The 18,643-nt window shown below is 36.8% G+C and overlaps 1 protein-coding gene across 1 annotated transcript; it reads left to right on the forward strand.

Moving 5' to 3' along the window:
• Positions 1-1,435: 1,435 nt before the first annotated feature.
• Positions 1,436-18,406, forward strand: RRH (retinal pigment epithelium-derived rhodopsin homolog). The gene is made up of 7 exons (NM_006583.5): positions 1,436-1,597; positions 6,603-6,793; positions 8,830-8,929; positions 9,471-9,624; positions 10,901-11,069; positions 15,933-16,111; positions 17,547-18,406. Exons 1-7 carry the CDS (start codon positions 1,492-1,494, stop codon positions 17,659-17,661), a joined length of 1,014 nt encoding a protein of 337 aa, NP_006574.1. The 5' UTR covers positions 1,436-1,491; the 3' UTR covers positions 17,662-18,406.

An 18,643-nucleotide genomic window follows, 5' to 3' on the forward strand; every position in this document is an offset into this window, starting at 1 on the left:
TAGGTATAACTTATTACAGAAAAGGAAGGTAGTATGACCCAAAGCAAATTCAAAAATTTTAAGTTTTGTTTTGCATATTGAATGAAAGAAAAGACAAAGACTTTTTAAAGGGAGTGATTTCCTCTTGGGTATTATGTTTTTTGCTCTAGGGTCATTTGAAAACAATACTGACGAGATTCGCTTTTCTAGTATAGGTATAACAATATTACATTTATAAAAATGTGAGTACTGGTAGCTATAAGATTTGGGACAGATAAATCAACCTGTTCATCTTGAGTTTATACACAGGCAAGAGAACTGAAGCAAAAGGATTATCTTAGGTTTCTGCTGTGCCATTCTAGGATTTTTATAAAATTAAACTAAGTGGGTAAATATAGCCCTCTAGTGGTTCTGTTTTATGCTTACACTGTTAACTTTGGTGCATCTAAGCATTTCTCTAATGTTTACTGATTTTAGGAAACTGAGGAGAATCAGATTTTAATAATGTTAATGGCATAAAGAATATGGGAAAAAAGGTAATAGGGATACCTTATTATTCTAACAAAACATGCTCAGGTTGGTTTTCAGGTTGTAATGTGATAATCCAGAATATTTTTATTCTGTACTTTACAATATCAGTGATTGAATTCAGATACTCTGGCAAAGTATACAATGATTACTATCATCAGATAATATTAATTACTCATGTGCATATCAAACTATAGGGGAAATTAACGGATGGTGGAGTTGATCATATTATATCCATGCTATGAAATACATAGCTACTAATAAATTAGACTTTATTAGATTCTGGGTTTATTAACTTGGATATTATAATACAGCCTTATGGGAAAACAAGTTGCATTATATATATACATTTGTACTTATTTTTTTCCCTCATTTTTATTTACAAGAAGAAAGTGGAGGAAACCTGAAACACTTGTATGAATATGTGTATAAGCAGAGAAAAGCCTAAGAAAGGATATGCACCAAACAATACTGGTACCTTTAGGAGAGTGAGATTTGGAAGTAGGAAGGAGACTACTTCTTTGTCACTAATATTTAAATTGTTAAGAAAAAAAAAACAACAAAAGGAGCCGAAATGGAAAGACTTGAATGGTCAACAGAAAACAGGGACCTTAATCCGAATAGTTTTAGAGGACTAAGGCTGGCTCCTATACTGATTTCCTGAGTTTGTTTATTGTTAAATGGGATGTGTGTGCTTGATAATCTCCTTAGATAGAAGACTGATGCCCAAATAGGTTAAAATGTGTGGTGCTTGGTATTTCTTTTTGTTTTGCTAATAAGCTTTTCCCTTATTCTGGGAATTAAAGTCCTTTCCTCTTTAGCCCAATTAAATTTGTTAAGGGAGGGCCTCTATGAAAAGGCCCTTCTTTGAGGTCTCTAAGTGGAAATGATTGGTCCTAAAAAATCTTTCCTCAGTAGCTCATAAAGCAGTTCATAATTATCGAAGGCTTATTATGAAGGGTGTTTCGGTATCTTCCCTCCAAAATGCTAAGAAATAATTTAGGCAACAGTTCAGACTCTAAAAATGAAGATGGCTCGGTCTTTTCACAGACTGAACACAATATTGTTGCAACTTACTTGATTATGGCAGGTATGGATATTTAAGTAAGTTATTTTTCTTTAGAATGGGTGAAGAAAGGCAGAAGTTTTCAGCATAAGGCATGCATTGTTTCAAGTTCCATATTATTGGCCAACCTTGACAAGTCATTTATCCTGACTTGGCTTGCTCGTTGGTAAATGAGGATGATGATACTCTATTTCTGGGCTGTAAAGATCAAATAAGATAATGTGGGTGAAAGAATAAGGGAAAGCATTGTTAGTGATGGCCATTGCCACAGGTTATTTTGAATTTTGGTAAATAAGAGCAGTGAAGTGGGGCTGAGAAAAGTTTTCTATGTGATAAATAGTTCTTTCATAAAAATCTATGTATTTGATTATTGGATTGTTAAAGTTTTTATTGGAGAAGAGTATGCACCATGGCAAAAACATATTTTTATGTCATTTACTATTCTTATACATAACCCTCATATTTTTGTTCTTGGTGGTAGAATTTAGCTAAGAACTTAAAGGTTCTGGAAAGAAAAAGTCCTAAGAAGACAGAGCAGGGTATATTGTCATTGAGGACAGAGTCTGAAAATTCAGCTTGTTCCAGAATGCTTATTGGAAAACTCTTGAGTTTTGGATTTCATCTTTTAGTATATTTGCAACTGTGAGCATGTATCTTCCCTTTTTGTTCTTCCATTTTCTCATCTGTAAAACAAGGATAAGAATAAGTTATCTGTCATGATTGTTATAAGGAGTAAAATTAAGTGACACATAAATGCCATATAGTAGGTGTTGGACAAATATTTGTTTCTTTTTCCCTTTCCTCCCTACACACTCATTGATGTAAAGGATTGTTTGCAGAAAAAAAGGGATGGGGGAATGACAGAAACTTTTTATCTTTTTAATGTATCATTGAATTGTGTAACTTTTATATTGAGCAATCACTTAATTTTCAACTTTATACTCTAACGAGTTGTAGAAGTAACTCTTATATTGAGTTCATTATTTTTTGGATTGACTTTTATAAAAATTTTCAAACATTCAAAAGTAGAGTGAAAAGTATAACACACCATCCTATACCCAGTTTATAATTGTTTACGTTTCTTCCTTATAATTCAGCGTATTACTTCTAGTACTGGAAATTGAGTTCCTCAGTTAAGTTTTGCGATTTTAGTGACGTTATCTCGTTCATTTGAATACCTCTATGATAAGTACTAGACAAGTTCTAGTTTTTTTGTAATTGCAAAAAAGACTGAGAAAATCTCCTAACAATTACATGGAAATACTTTGTATACAAGTGTTTGGTTTAGTTAGTTATTTGTAGATGACCAAAAAAAAAAAAAATCCAAAAAACAACCAAAACTATCCTTTTTTGACCTGGTTACAAAATTAGCATGCAGAAAATATTCTATTTAGTTCTTATCTCTGTAACAGTAATAATAATAGTAATCTTACTACTACTGCTACTAATGTTATCATTTGAATACTTGCTATATACCAAGCACTGTTCTAAAACCTTACACATACAGAATAATTCATCCTTACACTAATTTAGTAAGTTACTCTTCAGTTTTATTTCTCTAGTTTATACAGATGAAGAGCTTAAGAAACTTGTCCAGCACACACATTTACTAAGCAGCTACACCAGGATTTGAACCCAGGCATTTTGGTTCTAGAGCCCTCACATATAAATCCAAGAGTCAGCTTTATCAAGGTATACAATGAGTGTGTGTTGTTTGTGTTTCTGGTGGATCCACTGAAGGAAGCATAGCTGAACTCTTTATGCTTTTGTTCTGCCCCTGTATCAAGCATCTATTTTTCTTTAGATCCCCTAACTTTCCTCCTTTAACAAAACTCACTTAAAGTTGCAAATCAAAACCAAAACTATGAGGAAAGGGTGTAGTGAAAGCATTTATTTCATTCGTTACTTTTACCAAGGGCCTATTTAGATTTTTTATTTAATTTTTAATTTGATCTTTCATTTATAGTTTGGCTCCTATAAACTGTTACAACTTCCAGTGCAACAGACATTTTGTTAATTTAGTGTCCTTGAGCACTCTCCCTTTCCCCAGTTAAGGCTGGGAGGTAAGAGGACATGGTGAATTTGAGGATCTGAAATAAATCATTATGTTTGAACTGTAAAATGAAGGGTGAGAGGTTGAAAAAGATGGCTGAGTACCAGACAGTGATGAGCCGTGTAAGTTTTAAAGGTGACAGGGAGTCACTGAAGGGTTTGAAATGGGAGTGACATGATCTGATTTGTGTTTTAGAAATGTGCTATAGTGGTAGCTAAGGGACCACATAGGAGGCCATTGCAGTGATTCTGAGGAGGGAGTAATCGCAGTGGGGACAGAAAAAAGTAGATACATTCAAGAGCCAGAAGGTGGAATTGATGATTGGATGTTGGGATTGTGGGAGAAGGAGAGAAGTATCAAAGATGATGCCTAGGTTTCTTTTTTGAGCCACTGAATAGATGGTGATGCTCTTCATCAGATGGGAACACACCTGGGGAAGAACAGGTTTGAGGCAGGAGAAAAAGTCTCTCAGTTCAGTTTGAGAGGTGTCCAATAAAAAGCTGGACACATGGGTTTGAGTGTCCGGAGGCTGAAAAATATCAGGGTATAGCCTTGGGTATGAAGAAATTACTCAGAGTATGTGTTAAATGTGAAAAGAAAGGGATCTAGGACAGAAGGTTGGACAATGCACATATTTAATAAGACATAGATGGAGAAAGAAAGGCCAGGAAGTAGATCAAGAAGGGTCTGTTGAAGAGATTGCACGGAAGTCACGGAAGACAAGAAGGAAAATGTTTCAAGAGTGAAGGAGAAATCAACATCAAGTGCTACTTAGTGTTTAGACTGACTGTGAAATGGGACTTAACTAAAATCTAACAACTAGGTGATCTTTTGTATACTCATTAGAAGACCTACAGCTGTGGAAACAAGGCAGTGTGCTTGGTACAGCTGCAGAGAGAATAGAGAAAAGGGCTAAACTGTTTAGTTCATAACCCCCATTATTTCTAAGACTCCCAGAATTATAGTTCCTTTATTCTGGTTGCGTACTTGGTAGGCAGCAATTTACTGCACTGTTTTTATCTAACTTTAAAAAGTCATTGAATTTGTAGCTAGCCCAGAAAGAGTCTTCATTTCATTAAATTCTTCGGAGTATATCTTGTATACATGCTACAATCCTAGATGCTAAAAATAGGGCCAAAGAATCATCAAATTTGCTGTCATTGTGTGCTAATTATCTTGAAGGAATGATAGAAATTAAGCAATATGGGTTTTAGTTGTAGCCCACTTATTAAATAAATCTGCTGTATGTCACGTATTCAAAAACCACAGAAATCATGAGGAGCCTGAAATCCACATGAAAAGACAAGGAAAAGTAACAGTTAAATTATATAGTGTTACATAAGACTCAGTTAATCATAAGCAAGTAGTTTGGAAATTTAGGGAGGAGAGGATAGTGTGGGTAGGATAAGGCTTAGGGGCTTGAACTGAAGTTTGAAGGATGGATGGCATTTGGATAGGAAAAGAGAAGGAGCAGGGTGCTCCAAGTGGGAGAAATATGAGTCAAGCATGGTGTATCTGGGCAAAAACTAGAATGGAGAGTTCACTTGACAAGTGTAGAAATTTGCTTCTAGAGAGTGACAACAGATGAGGCAAAGAGCCTGGAATATCAGGTTGGGAAATTTGGATTGTTATCCCACAGCCAGTGGGAAATACTACAAGTTTTCGGGAGGAGAAGAACCATGGTTAAGTCTATGTTATAGCAAGCTGATTCTGCCAGAAGCAAGGAGAGGAAAAGAACAGGAATCTGGAAGGTTAGTTTAACAGGCTAAGGCAGAAGTTCTGACTGAAGTGCCAAGATATGTTAAAAGTTTTTACTGAGCTGATGTTGTATGTTGGTGCTTGGAAACTGTCCCTCTCTGACAATAGTTGGGGATTGATCACCAAGTAATTCTTTTCTTGATGGGGAACTCAACTCTATTCCTGCTTGTTGCACAACCCTCCTTTAGTCTCTAACAATCCAGTAATGATTCTAGCTTCTTGGATGAAATCTACTCACACCCCACCCCCTCACACCCCTTTAGGATCTAGTATGCCCATATCTGGCTTATGCCCTTTACAGCATGTAGGGGATGTTGAACATGCACATCCAGTACACTCGACAGTATTTCTCAGTGTAAAATAAAACAGTGGCATTCTGGTTAATAAGTTTAGTTATCTGTCTACCTCAGTGCAACCAATCTGGGGCACTGACAACACTGAGGTTCTGGAAACTTGATTTCCAGAAACTTGATTAAGGTGGTATCAGCTGTGAGGCTTCTCTATGGACCAAAAAGCTGGCTCAACTTCCTCTCTGGATAGTCAAGTCTTGTAGTATGCATTCTTCTATTGGGGTAGTGTGTGTGTGTGTGTGTGTGTGTGTGTGTGTGTGTGTTGGAATGAAGAATTTGGACATGTTGAGTTTCAAGAAATACTGGAATAGTCATATGAGCTTACATATGGTAGATGCTTAGTAAACGACAATGAGTTCAATGAAAAAAGAAGATATGGAACTGGAGCTTGTGTCATGGCTGAAAATAGTGACAAAAGTGCTGTGAGGATAGAATGATAATTGAAGCTTGAGAAAGGCAACTATCGAAAAAGAAGAGCCCCAGGCCCCAGGAAGGAAGAGGAGGAAGTTAAGCTGACAAAAAGAGGGCATGGTCAGTCATATATTTGTCCTAAAAATCAGTAGGAATGGTATGAAAGCCAATGAAGGAGTTTCAAGGACAGAACACTCAATAGCAATGACATTAAAACCAACGTTCAGTGCTGCCTTGTGCAATTACCAGATTCTTTGTGTTTTAATTTTCTCATTTCTGTTTCACAGAAGGGATGTGAAGATGTCACATACAGTTTTAAGAACAGCAGGAGCTCTTCAAATAAATGAACTAAAATAGATCTGTTATGTTTTTAAAGGGGCTTAAATATTTAATTTTGAGTCTACTTTGAAACATTCAAATTAAACAAAATGCATCATATTTTTGTGTGTGTTCTCAGGTATGATAAGTATTATCAGCAACATAATAGTTCTGGGCATCTTCATTAAGTACAAGGAACTTCGGACACCCACAAATGCAATTATTATTAACCTGGCTGTTACTGATATAGGGGTCAGTAGCATTGGCTATCCCATGTCTGCTGCCTCAGATCTGTATGGAAGTTGGAAATTTGGATACGCAGGCTGTCAGGTATTGGAGATCATTGGAATGAAAGCAAAATAAATAGATCAAATAAATGTAAATTTAAATGTCTAAAACGAATCCCAAGAGTTTAAATTGAATATTGTAGAATAATAGATACAGTGCTTTTATGGAAAACAACAGAAGTGACTAGGAATATATTCTTTAATAAGAGAAATTAAATCACCAACCATTGTTATATTTTCAAAATTCTCCCAACTCAAAGGAAGAAACAAACAAAATAACTAGCATTCAACCAAAGGAGAAGAGTGCTGATTTGCATATTCAAATAAATATTTGCATATTGCAAATTAAAAAAAATAACCTGCTTTCATCTGAAACAATAAAGTAGTGATTTAATCATAATATTATGGAAGATAGTTAAGCTACCATGTTGTTGAATTTTTTCCTATAGAAAGTCCTCCATAAGAATTGTTACTAAATGTTATTTTTTAGTAAAAAGGAAATGAGTTAATATTAATTTGCCTTAAGACAGTAAGCAAATATTACTTTTAGGCTAATTCTTTTAGCAGTTTACTATCATAACCTAAAAACTATAGAGAATAAAATGAAAGTAGTAGTGAATACTGAATAACCACGTAAGTACCAACCAGTTTTGTTAAATCTTAATGTTTCGCAATCTGTGCTTCAGATTGTTTTTCTTTTTAAAGATATAAAACTATACAGATAATGATGAAGGCCACCGCATGCCATCTTCAATCTTATTCCTCCCATGAATGTTTTTCTCTCTAATATATGTGCACATAAACCAGATACTGTCTGAATACTTCAGGTTTTGTGTAAATGATATCATATTGTTTGCATTATGCGATTTCCTTTCATTGTTAGATATTATGTTTTTGAGGTTTATCCATGTTGATGGATATGACTGTAAGTCATTCATTTTAACTGCTATATAATATTCCATTTTGTGAACGTAGAAAGCCCAATGTACATTTTCATTTTACTCTTATTGGACCTTTGTTGCCATTTTTTTTCTTTTCCTTTTTTTTTTTTTTTTTTATTTGAGATGGAGTCACGCTCCGTTGCCCAGGCTGGAGTGCAGTGGCGTGATCTCCGCTCACTGCAAGCTCTGCCTTCTGGGTTCACACCATTCTCCTGCCTCAGCCTCCCGAGTAGCTGGGACTACAGGTGCCTGCCACCAAGCCTGGCTAATTTTTTTTTTTGTATTTTTTTTTTTTTTAGTAATGACGGAGTTTCATCGTGTTAGCCAGGATGGTCTCGATCTCCTGACCTCATGATCCTCCCACCTCGGCCTCCCAAAGTGCTGGGATTACAGGCATGAGCCACTGCGCCCGGACCCCCATTTTTTTTTCTGTCACAGATAAGGCTTCAGTAAATGTTCTTACATATGTCTCCTTCTGCAATATGTGAGTTTCTTTAGCCACATTGCTTAGGAGTGGAATGGTTAAGTTGTAGAGAATGTTCATCTTCAACTTTATCAGAAGTAGCCAAATTGCTGTCCAAAATAGTTATTCAGATTATGAGAACATCTATTACTCCACATTCTCCTTAACATTTGGGATTGTCAGACTTTTAAATTTTCATTTTCTTGAGTGTGAAATGCCATCTTATAATCAGTATTTCTTTGAATATTTATTGTGGTTGTATGTCTTATGTTATAAACATTCAAATGCTAATGGGCTTGTGTGAATACCCCGTTCATCATCTGGCCATTTTTCTATTGAGTTTGTCTTTTCCTCCTGTTGAATTACCCATCTTCTGAATACTAGTCTTTTGCTGGTTTGTGGTTGTTCTGCACTCTGTTCATAGAGTGTTGTAAAGAAATTTCACTGTAAGTCTTAAAATTTTCAAAAAAGTCCATTTTAGTTAATGAAATTACAAATTACTTTCCATAAATTCTTTTATTAAACCAGTTATAATTTGACAATGAAGATGTATTTTAAAGTAGTAAAGTAAAAAACCTTTAGTATATTTGAGATATATTCTAACAATGGACAAAAATTTAATGTTTCTTGGGAGGGTGTTTAGAATGGTAGAGTCTTTTCAATTTTGGTTTTCAGGTTTATGCTGGATTGAATATTTTTTTTGGAATGGCAAGCATTGGATTACTCACGGTCGTGGCTGTGGACCGATACCTGACCATCTGCCTTCCTGACGTAGGTACAACACTTTTCTCAGCTTTCTTAATGAATCCATTTCTTGACTAATGGCCACTCAATATATATATACGCTAAAATATAAACCTAATGGTTTGTAGTTAGGGTCAGTTTTATTTCTCTGCCAATAATTGTTCAAATGTTTCAATGGCTTCTTATTGTACTTAGAATAAAATCCAAATTTCATAAGGCTATTCACACTTTGAGGTACGGTCCAAGCCCAAAGTGAGGTTTTCATACCTGCTGTTTTGCTAGGTTTGGAAAGCTACTCTTCCTGCTTATCCTCTGGCTGATTCTTTTCTCATTTAGGTTTCAGCTTAAATGTCTTTTTTTTTTTCCAGAATGTGAACTTATGTAGATAGGCTTAGTAAAAGGGAGAATATTTGTGTTACTTTTATTAGGTGTTGCACTCATGTTTTGGCTCCTAAGGCCAATCAAAGTGCTCTGTAAAGAATCTACTTGATAACACTTACAAATCAAGCAAGTTTAAAAAGTGAGTCCCATTAATGGCAAATGTTGCTAATATTTCCTGTGCTTGATAATAGGGAGAAGAATGACCACCAACACTTACATCGGCTTGATTCTGGGAGCCTGGATCAATGGCCTGTTTTGGGCTTTGATGCCTATCATAGGGTGGGCTAGTTATGCCCCAGATCCTACTGGTGCTACGTGTACCATAAACTGGAGGAAAAATGATAGGTAAGAGACAAGTTTACACTTTATAATCAAATGCTTCTAATGTAGACATTTTCTCACCCTTTCAAATTTAAGCTCAGATCATGTGTTCCTCATACAGAAGGTGGCGAAGCACTTCCCTGGTAGTGATGATGTGATTCTCAGTTCAAAGACGGAATTGAGAAAAGTGACTTATGCTTGTTTGCAAGTAAAGGTCATCCAGCTCCCTTTGTCTCCTTTATCCCATTCCTTCCTCCCTCCCCTGTGTTCTCTCTTAAGGCAGCAATGCAGGGTACCAATCACCCTTCCAATATTTGCACATTTCAAAGGTAGGATCATGAGCAGGAAAAGGGTTAATGAAGCTAGACAGAGTGTGCAGTTCTGGCAAAAGCCCAGGCTGCCTCCCTGCTGTCTTTTCAAGATGGTCTGGTGTTCCAGCACATTCTGAGAACTGCGTAGCAAAAGCACAGTCACTGCAAAGATTTGCCTGCTAGTTAGTGAGGCTTCTTTATATTTTCCAGGAACAAGATAATAATTTAGTTCATTAGAGGAAATGAAGGATGACATAAACATGAACAGAAAATTTCTAGATCTCAAACCTGATCTAAATTTTTTTCTGTAGATTCAAAAAGTAAAGGCTGGGCACAGTGGTTCATGCCTGTAATCCCAGCACTTTGTGAGGCTGGGGCAGGAAGATCACTTCAGCCCAGGAGTTTGAGACCAGCCTGGGCAACATATTGAGACCCTGTCTCTACAAAAAAAAAAAAAAAAAAAAGCAGAGGGTGGTGCGGGGGGTGGGAAATTAGCTGGCTGTGGTGGTGTATGCCTGTGGTCTCAGCTACTCGGTTGGCTAAAATGGAGATTGGCTTGGGCTGGGGAGTTCAAGGCTACAGTGAGACGTGATTGCACCGCTGCACTCCAGCCTGGGTGACAGAGCAAGATTATGTCTTGAAAAGAATTAAAAGTAAATAATTTAGGCTTTATAGCCCAGATGTTCTCTATCACAGCTCTTCAACTCTGTCATCATCCTGTAAAAGCAGCCATAGCCAGTATGTAAATGAGGGTACATGGCTGTGTTCCAATAAAACTTTATTTACAAAGATGAGTGATAGGCTGAAATAGGCCTACAGTCCATAGTTTGCCAATTCCGGGCCTAAATAAACTAAAAGTCAAATATACTTCTAAAATTATTTAGCAATATAATGACTACCAGTATTGTTTTTAATAATTATCTCCTCTTTCTCCTTCCCCCACTTAGGACATTAAATGAGCAATCATGATTGCCTTTTCTTATTTTCAGATCTTTTGTGTCTTACACCATGACAGTTATTGCGATAAATTTTATTGTGCCCTTGACAGTGATGTTTTACTGCTATTACCATGTCACGCTATCCATTAAACATCACACTACCAGTGACTGCACTGAGTCCCTCAACAGAGACTGGTCAGATCAGATAGATGTAACAAAGGTAAGAGATCAAAATCCTTGAAAAATTGTTGTCATGGAGCTTTTACCCACTCATAGTTGAAAGAGTCCCTGGGACCACCGCAGTCTTCTCTCCCTCATCTCCAATTCTCACTCCCCAGCTCTTTCTTCTGTGTTTGCTTCCTCATTTCTTTTTTTGCTTTTATTTTTGTTTTTTGCTTTTGTTTTTTGAAATGGAGTTTCACTCTTATCGTCCAGGCTGGAGTGCAATGGCACGATCTCGGCTCACTGCAACCTCCGCCTCCCGGGTTCAAGTGATTCTCCTGCCTCAGCCTCCCCAGTAGCTGGGATTACAGGCACCTGCTGCCACACTTGGCTAATTTTTTTTGTATTTTTAGTAGAGATGGGGTTTCACCATGTTGGGCCAGGCTGGTCTTGATCTCTTGACCTCAGGCGATCCACCTGCCTTGGCCTCCCAAAATGCTGGGATTACAGGTGTGAGCCAATGCGCCTGGCCACTTGCCTTCTTATTTCTGAATGATATGCTGTTTGCTCTTTTGGATATTTTTGTTGGTCATCATCTCTTGATTTCCTACTATGGATGATGAGGATTTATTCTCTTATACCACCCACCTGCCCAACTCCTCCTCCACACCTTTCTCTCTCCTTACCTGTCAGTATAATGTTAACAATATTTGGTTAGATAAAGAGGCTCTTTCTCTGCTCTCAGTATGTTTAAACACACCACAGATGTGATGAACCTTATCCTCTTCTTGGAGCCATCCTCCTGGTTCCCTGGGGCCTCTTGCTCTGCTTTGAACTGATTGCTCCTGAGGACCACTGCTCAGAAAGCCAACATCCTCAGGCCTCCCTTCATCACCAGCTCAGGATGCTTTCACCTCCTTCCAGGGTCGAATCCCCTGTTTTCTGGAATGCTTGTCTTCCTTTTTTTTTTTCTTAGTTTATTTCCTCTGATTTGGTGGAGCACATTCTTCAATTAATTCCTGAGGTTATGGGAGAGGTAAATTTTTTAAGACTTTGCATGAATGAAAATGTCTTAATTTTACTATCATGTTTGACTGATTGTTTGCCTGGTCTAGAATTCTAGGTGCAAAAGTAATATTCAAAGAGTTTTGAAGGCATTGCTCTACAGTCTCCTAGCTTCCAGCATTGCTACTACAAAGGCTGATGGCATTCTGGTGGGTGATGCTCTGTGGTGATCTGTGGGTTCTCTCTGGAAGCTTATAGGATCTTCTCTATGTCTCTAGTTTTCTGAAAATGTATACTGATGCACCTTGGTATGAGTATTTATCCAGTGCTGGGTACTTGGTGAGTACTTTCAGTGTGGAGACTCCAGTCTTCCTCTTCTAGGAGATTTCTAGTATCATTTCTCTGATTATTTCAGTCCCTCTGTTTTTTCTTTTCTTCTCTTTCCCTGGAATTCCTTTTATTTAGATATTTAATCTGCTAGATTTACCTTCTAATTTTCTTAAATTTTCTCTCCTATATTGTCTATTTTTGTTTGTTTCTTTTGTGGTTGTTGTTTGTTTCTTTTTGTTTCTACTTTCTGGGAGATTTGCTTAACCATATCTAGGTCTAGGATAAGGGTGAGGATAGTGAAGGCCAACCCTTGGGTGCAAAATTCAAGCAAGCACCAAAAAACTCATTAATAAAAAAAGTGGTTTAATGTAGTACTTAAAAAACAATATTAATGTAAAAATTATGTTGAACAAAATAGAAATTTTAAATAAAAACAGGATCCGACCCTGCACTGATATAATTCACCTGATTCACCTCCCCCTGTTCCCAGCCTGATAATATCATACAACCTTTCTGTAACATTTTTTACATTCTACTCTCACTTTTACAGATAGGAGAAAAACCATTTTTTTTAAATTTCCAACTTTTATTTTAAGTTCAGGGGTACATGTGCATGACGTGTAGGTTTGTTACATAGGTAAACGTGTGCCATGGTGGTTTGCTGCACAGACTATCCAGGTATTAAGCCCAGCATCCATTAGCTGTTCTTCCTGATCCTCTCCCTCCTCCCTCCCTCTACCCTTCAACAAGCCCCAGTGTGTGTTGCTTCCGCTGTGTGTCCATGTGTTCTCATCATTTAGCTCCCACTTATAAGTGAGAACATAAGGTATTTGGTTTTCTGTTCCTGCATTAGTTTGCTAAAGATAATGGCCTCCAGCTCCATCGATGTCCCTGCAAAGGACATGATCTCATTCCTTTATGGCTGTATGGTATTCCATGGTGTATATGTACCACATTTTCTTTATCCAGTCTATCATTGATGAGAATTTAGGTTAATTCCATGTCATGTCCATGATTGCTATTGTGAATAGTGCTGCAATAAACATACATGTGCATGTGTCTTTATAATACAATGATTTATATTCCTTTGGGTATATACTCAGTAAAAGAATTGGTGGGACAAATGGTATTTCTGTCTCTAGGTCTTTGAGGAATTGCCACACACAATCTTCCACAATGGTTGAACTAAGTTATACTCCCATCAAGAGTGTAAAAGTGTTTTTTTCCCACAACCTCACCAGCATCTGTTATTTTTTGACTTTTTATTAGCAGCTATTCTGACTGGTATGAGATTGTATCTCATTGTGGTTTTGATTTGCATTTCTCTCATGATCAGTGATGAGCTTTTTTTTTTTCATGTTTCTTGGCTGCATGTATGTCTTCTTTTGAGAAATGCCTGTTCATGTCCCTTGCCCACTTTTTAATGGGGTTGCTTGTTTTTGTCTTATAAATTTGTTTAAGTTCCTTGTAGATGCTGGATATTAGACCTTTGTCAGATGCACAGATTGCAAAAATTTTCTCCCATTCTGTCGGTTGTCTGTTTACTCTGTTTATAGTTTCTTTTGCTGTGTAGAAGCTCTTTAGTTTAATTAGATCCTATTTGTCAACTTTTGCTTCTGTTGCAATTGCTTTTGGCATCTTCATCATGAAATCTTTGCCTGTGCCTATGTCCTGAATGGTATTGCCTGGGTTCTCTTCTTGAGTTAAAAACCATTTTTATTGATAAAACAGCTATTTTATACTCTATTCTCTCCTTGTTTTATGGATGTATATCTCCTGTTATTTCTGTGATATTATGTATATATTTATACTTCCTTCTGTTTACCACATATTTTTGTTTCCCCTGAGTTCTTGCACTGTTTTTTTTTTTTTCTTTGCCTGTCAATGTAAAAGTTTTCTTAATGTCTGGTGGTCAGTGATTGTCCCTTCATACTTAAGAGTAATGCATTAAAAATGTTGATTGTAAGCATGGAGATGCTCATTAGCAAGATGTTTCTTTTGGGGGAATTTCTAATTGTCTCTGTAGTTATTATTACTATTATGACCACCATCATCATTATTATTATTTGCTCTCACTGTGATTATCTGCTAATCAAAAAAATTTTTTTTCTAACTTCCAAACTCAATCTGGAAACAAATACAATCCTATCTTGAGCTCAGTGAATTCTAGCACAGGCCATTTCTGCTGGATATATATTACACATGATGCAGATAATTTTGTAAAGGAGCTCTCTTGTATCTTGTTTAAATGGAAAAATTATATTTTTCATGTTGCTCCCTCCTGATTGCCTGCTAAAATGATGGAATGGAGGTTTGGGGGAATTTCTAACTGTCTAGGTAACTATATCTTTAGGTATTTTATTCTGGGCAGATCAGTTCCTTTCATGTTCCTGGGTGGGAGGCACAAGTCTATCTCCAAGTTTTTTCACACTCAGTGCAGGGAGGGAGCAGCATACAGGTACCCCTCTTTTCAATACAGTACTGAAGTGCTTAGCTGAACCTGGTGTCCCTGTGTTCTGAGTTTCCCAAATTAGCCTTCTTTTTTCTTTATACTGAGCCTCTGGAAGTCTTCTAGGGAGAGGAAGGGGAAGTTACTGAGTAGACTGAGTGGACAGGGGTAAAGATTTGGAAGTCTACTTTCTTTGTAGATTTCAACCAGTTCTATTTTGAGCTCCATGTGCACCCCCACATCTAGAGTTTTCTGGTACCCTTTGTTACTAGAATTTCTGTAGCTCTGTAGTATGGATTGGTCTGTATCTGGTTTTCCCTCATAGTTGGCTCTTTTTAACGTTTATTTATTTACTTATTTATAAAATTATTCTCATGTTTCTTACATAATTTGCCACTTATCCAATGGCCATTTTTTCCATTAAAAATATGTATTATCTAATCTCTGATTCTCTGTCCTTATGGTTTTATGTCTTCTTTAACCTCTGTTCCATAATTTTAGCAGGCAATCTAGGGAAGCAATATAAAAATATAATTTTTCCATTTAAACAAGATGCAAGAGATCTCCTTTACAAAATTGTCTGCATTGTGTGTAACATATATCCAGCAGAAATGGCCTGTGTTAGAATTCACTGAGCTCAAGATAGGATTGTATTTGTTTCCAGATTGAGTTTAGAAAGTTAGAAAGTTACTTTTGTTAATTTAGCAGGTAATCCCAGTAAGAGCAAATAATAATGATGGTGATAATAATAATAATAGCCATGCCAGGAGTTCATAGCATAATGATGTGAAGTGGGGTGGGGTGGGTTTTTATCTGTCTTTCATCAAAGTCAGCTTTTGTACTCTCCCCTAGCACGCAGAAAGAAAGAGGGCATTCCTTATGTGTGTGTACCATTCTTAAAAGCAATGTTATATATTCTTGATATACCCATTTCACAAGGTCTTATTATCATCGAGGACTTCAGGCACTTGAAAAAAGAACATTGAAGGCAGAAAAAAAACTCAACTATTTCCTTTATGTCATCAAAAACATAAACATATTCAAATTCCAACCCAGATAGATTTTTACCCAACTTTAGATATATTAATATTTAAATATTTTAGGTATTGGGCTTGGTGAATATTTATTTCTTTTCAGATGTCTGTGATCATGATCTGCATGTTTCTGGTGGCATGGTCCCCTTATTCCATCGTGTGCTTATGGGCTTCTTTTGGTGACCCAAAGAAGATTCCTCCCCCCATGGCCATCATAGCTCCACTGTTTGCAAAATCTTCTACATTCTATAACCCCTGCATTTATGTGGTTGCTAATAAAAAGTAAGTAATGTCTAAAATGCTTGCAGTACAAAATAAAACTGATATAAAAAGAATGTTAAGACTTCTTGGGAGAGAAGTGACAGAAACCCACTTCAATCTAGCATAAAGGTCATTTGCCTCATGTGACTGGAGCAGCATCTAGGACCTTAAATGCTTAGAGCTCCAGATTTGTTACAGACTCTTCCCACACAGTGGCAGAGATGATTGTGGGCAACCCCAGACCCAAGTTCTACCAGCTAAGCATCCCCAAATGCCAATTGCATCTCAGATGGCTCTCTGGCAGAAAAGAGCCTGGGATGTCAGTGGTCAGCTTAGTTCAAATGGTTACCCCCACCCCAAATACATGGAATAGTGGTTTCCAAAGAAAAGAGGGATTCTATAACTGGAAAATGGACAAGGCAACATTGGGCTCACTTGGTGGGTAGCACAGATGTATATTTACAAGAAATAAGACATATCATTCAAATGCAAGGGAAAAGTTTAGTCCCAACATAAAAGGCATCTGGATACTAGAGAATTCTTACCTCCTCTCTTTTTTGGGTTTCTTAGCAAAATGTTCCTTTTCTGCCTCCTCAGTGAAGTTTAGACGGAGTCTCTCTCTGTCACCCAGGCTGGAGTGCAGTGGTGTGATCTCAGCTCACTGCAACCTCTGCCTCCAGGTTCAAGCAATTCCCTGCCTCAGCCTCCCGAGTAGCTGGGATTACAGGTGCCCGCCACCACACCCGGCTAATTTTTGTATTTTTAGTAGAGATGGGGTTTCACCATCTTGGCCAGGCTCGTCTTGAACTCCTGACCTCGTGATCCGCCCGCCTCGGCCTCCCAAAGCGCTGGGATTACAGGCGTGAGCCACCGCGTCCAGCCGAGGTCAGGTAATTTTATCCTGGAATGGCAATGTTTGGAAAAGCAGCTTTAGCTACAGGTATGTGAAGAAACATAAAATTTTACAGACCAAACAGACCACATAAGAAGAATGAAGAACACATTTTAAATTCAGAATCTGCTGGTAGTTCTTTTGGAAAATTCTTGCTAGGAAGAACAGATGGATGAAATACACATTGTTAGTTCAAATAAACAACTCATGGCACTTGACATTAGTAGCATCCTTTTAAATACATATAATTATTTACTTTTAGTAGATGTCTTCAATCTGTAGAATCAACAGTGCAAAATTGACCTTTAACTGTACCATATACCTTATATATTTATAAAGTTTCTCAACAGGAAATCTATAGAATCAATAGTGCAAAATGGGCTTTAACTGTACCATATACTTTATATATTTATAAAGGTTCTCAACAGGACATGTTAAAGTTGGAGGCAGAAATTTATCCAGAGATGTAAATTGGCAGTAGTGGCATCTTAGCCATATTTGAAAATGCTTTAGAAGTTCCAAATCATTATGGGTTAATGCCAGATTTTCCTTTTTTTATCGTAGGTTTCGGAGGGCAATGCTTGCCATGTTCAAATGTCAGACTCACCAAACAATGCCTGTGACAAGTATTTTACCCATGGATGTATCTCAAAACCCATTGGCTTCTGGAAGAATCTGAAATAAGATAAAAGGACACACTATCAAAACACTTTAGTTTTTTGACAATGCTTTTCTTTTAAATATGAGCCCATTTAGATCAAGTGCAGACATGGATCATTGTCCTATGAGAGTGTAAGCTCCTCAAGCACAGCTCGTGCTTCTGTTTGTGCACTCTGGCTGCTGTAGTGTATGCTTCTCTGTGTCCTGATATATCAACTTATTGCTCATCTCCTTTGATGAATTAGGCATCAGAGGTTAAGGTCCCCTTTCTTTCTCCCTATTATGGCATGCATTACACTGTACTGATGACCTTTAACTTGCCTGGCTCCTCCATTAGAATAAAAGCAGTCACTAATTTAATGTTAGAATAAATGAATAATTCTAGATAATTACTGAAATGAGTTGTTGGATGTTCCCAGTTAGAATAGAAAGCATTTTTTGAATTTCAACATTTTAACATTTAAATCAATTAACTTATGTTATTAAACAAAAATAAATGAACATTAAACATGATTGTTTCTAAATAAAATGTTAAGTCAATGCATATATATTATATAGCATTATGACCCCTGTGCATATTTTGATGTTTTCTGCAATTTTGAGTACCATTTTTCTGCATATATATTCCATATATTTGCCAACAGAGTTAACTTCAATCAGAGTGGAGATTTTTATATGTTTGTTCTTTGATGTATCCTTAGCACATATACCCAATTCTGTCTGGCATGTAGTAGGCACTCAATAAATATTTTTTCAATGTCAAATGAATTTGTAGACTTCACATATTTGTCATTCTAAATGACTGTTAAGCATAATACAATATACCATTGTTTAAATAGTAGACATTTAAATTGCTTTCCAGTTTTTAGTTTCATGGATATACCACTGAAAATATTTCAGTGCAAATATATTTTTTCTTTTGGAGAAGTTATTCTATTTGAGTGTTTCTTTTCAGACTAGAAATACTGGATACAAATACAAAAACACTATTATTTTTGCTA

Source organism: Homo sapiens, chromosome 4 (genome assembly GCF_000001405.40).
Source record: "Homo sapiens chromosome 4, GRCh38.p14 Primary Assembly".
Taxonomy (NCBI): domain Eukaryota; kingdom Metazoa; phylum Chordata; class Mammalia; order Primates; family Hominidae; genus Homo; species Homo sapiens.

Coding starts and splice junctions, on each gene's coding strand:
- RRH (NM_006583.5), top strand. CDS start 1,492: ATGCTAAGAAATAATTTAGGCAACAGTTCAGACTCTAAAAATGAAGAT. Junction 6,794..8,829: donor TTGGATACGCAGGCTGTCAG/GTATTGGAGATC, acceptor TTTGGTTTTCAG/GTTTATGCTGGATTGAATAT. Junction 9,625..10,900: donor AACTGGAGGAAAAATGATAG/GTAAGAGACAAG, acceptor TCTTATTTTCAG/ATCTTTTGTGTCTTACACCA.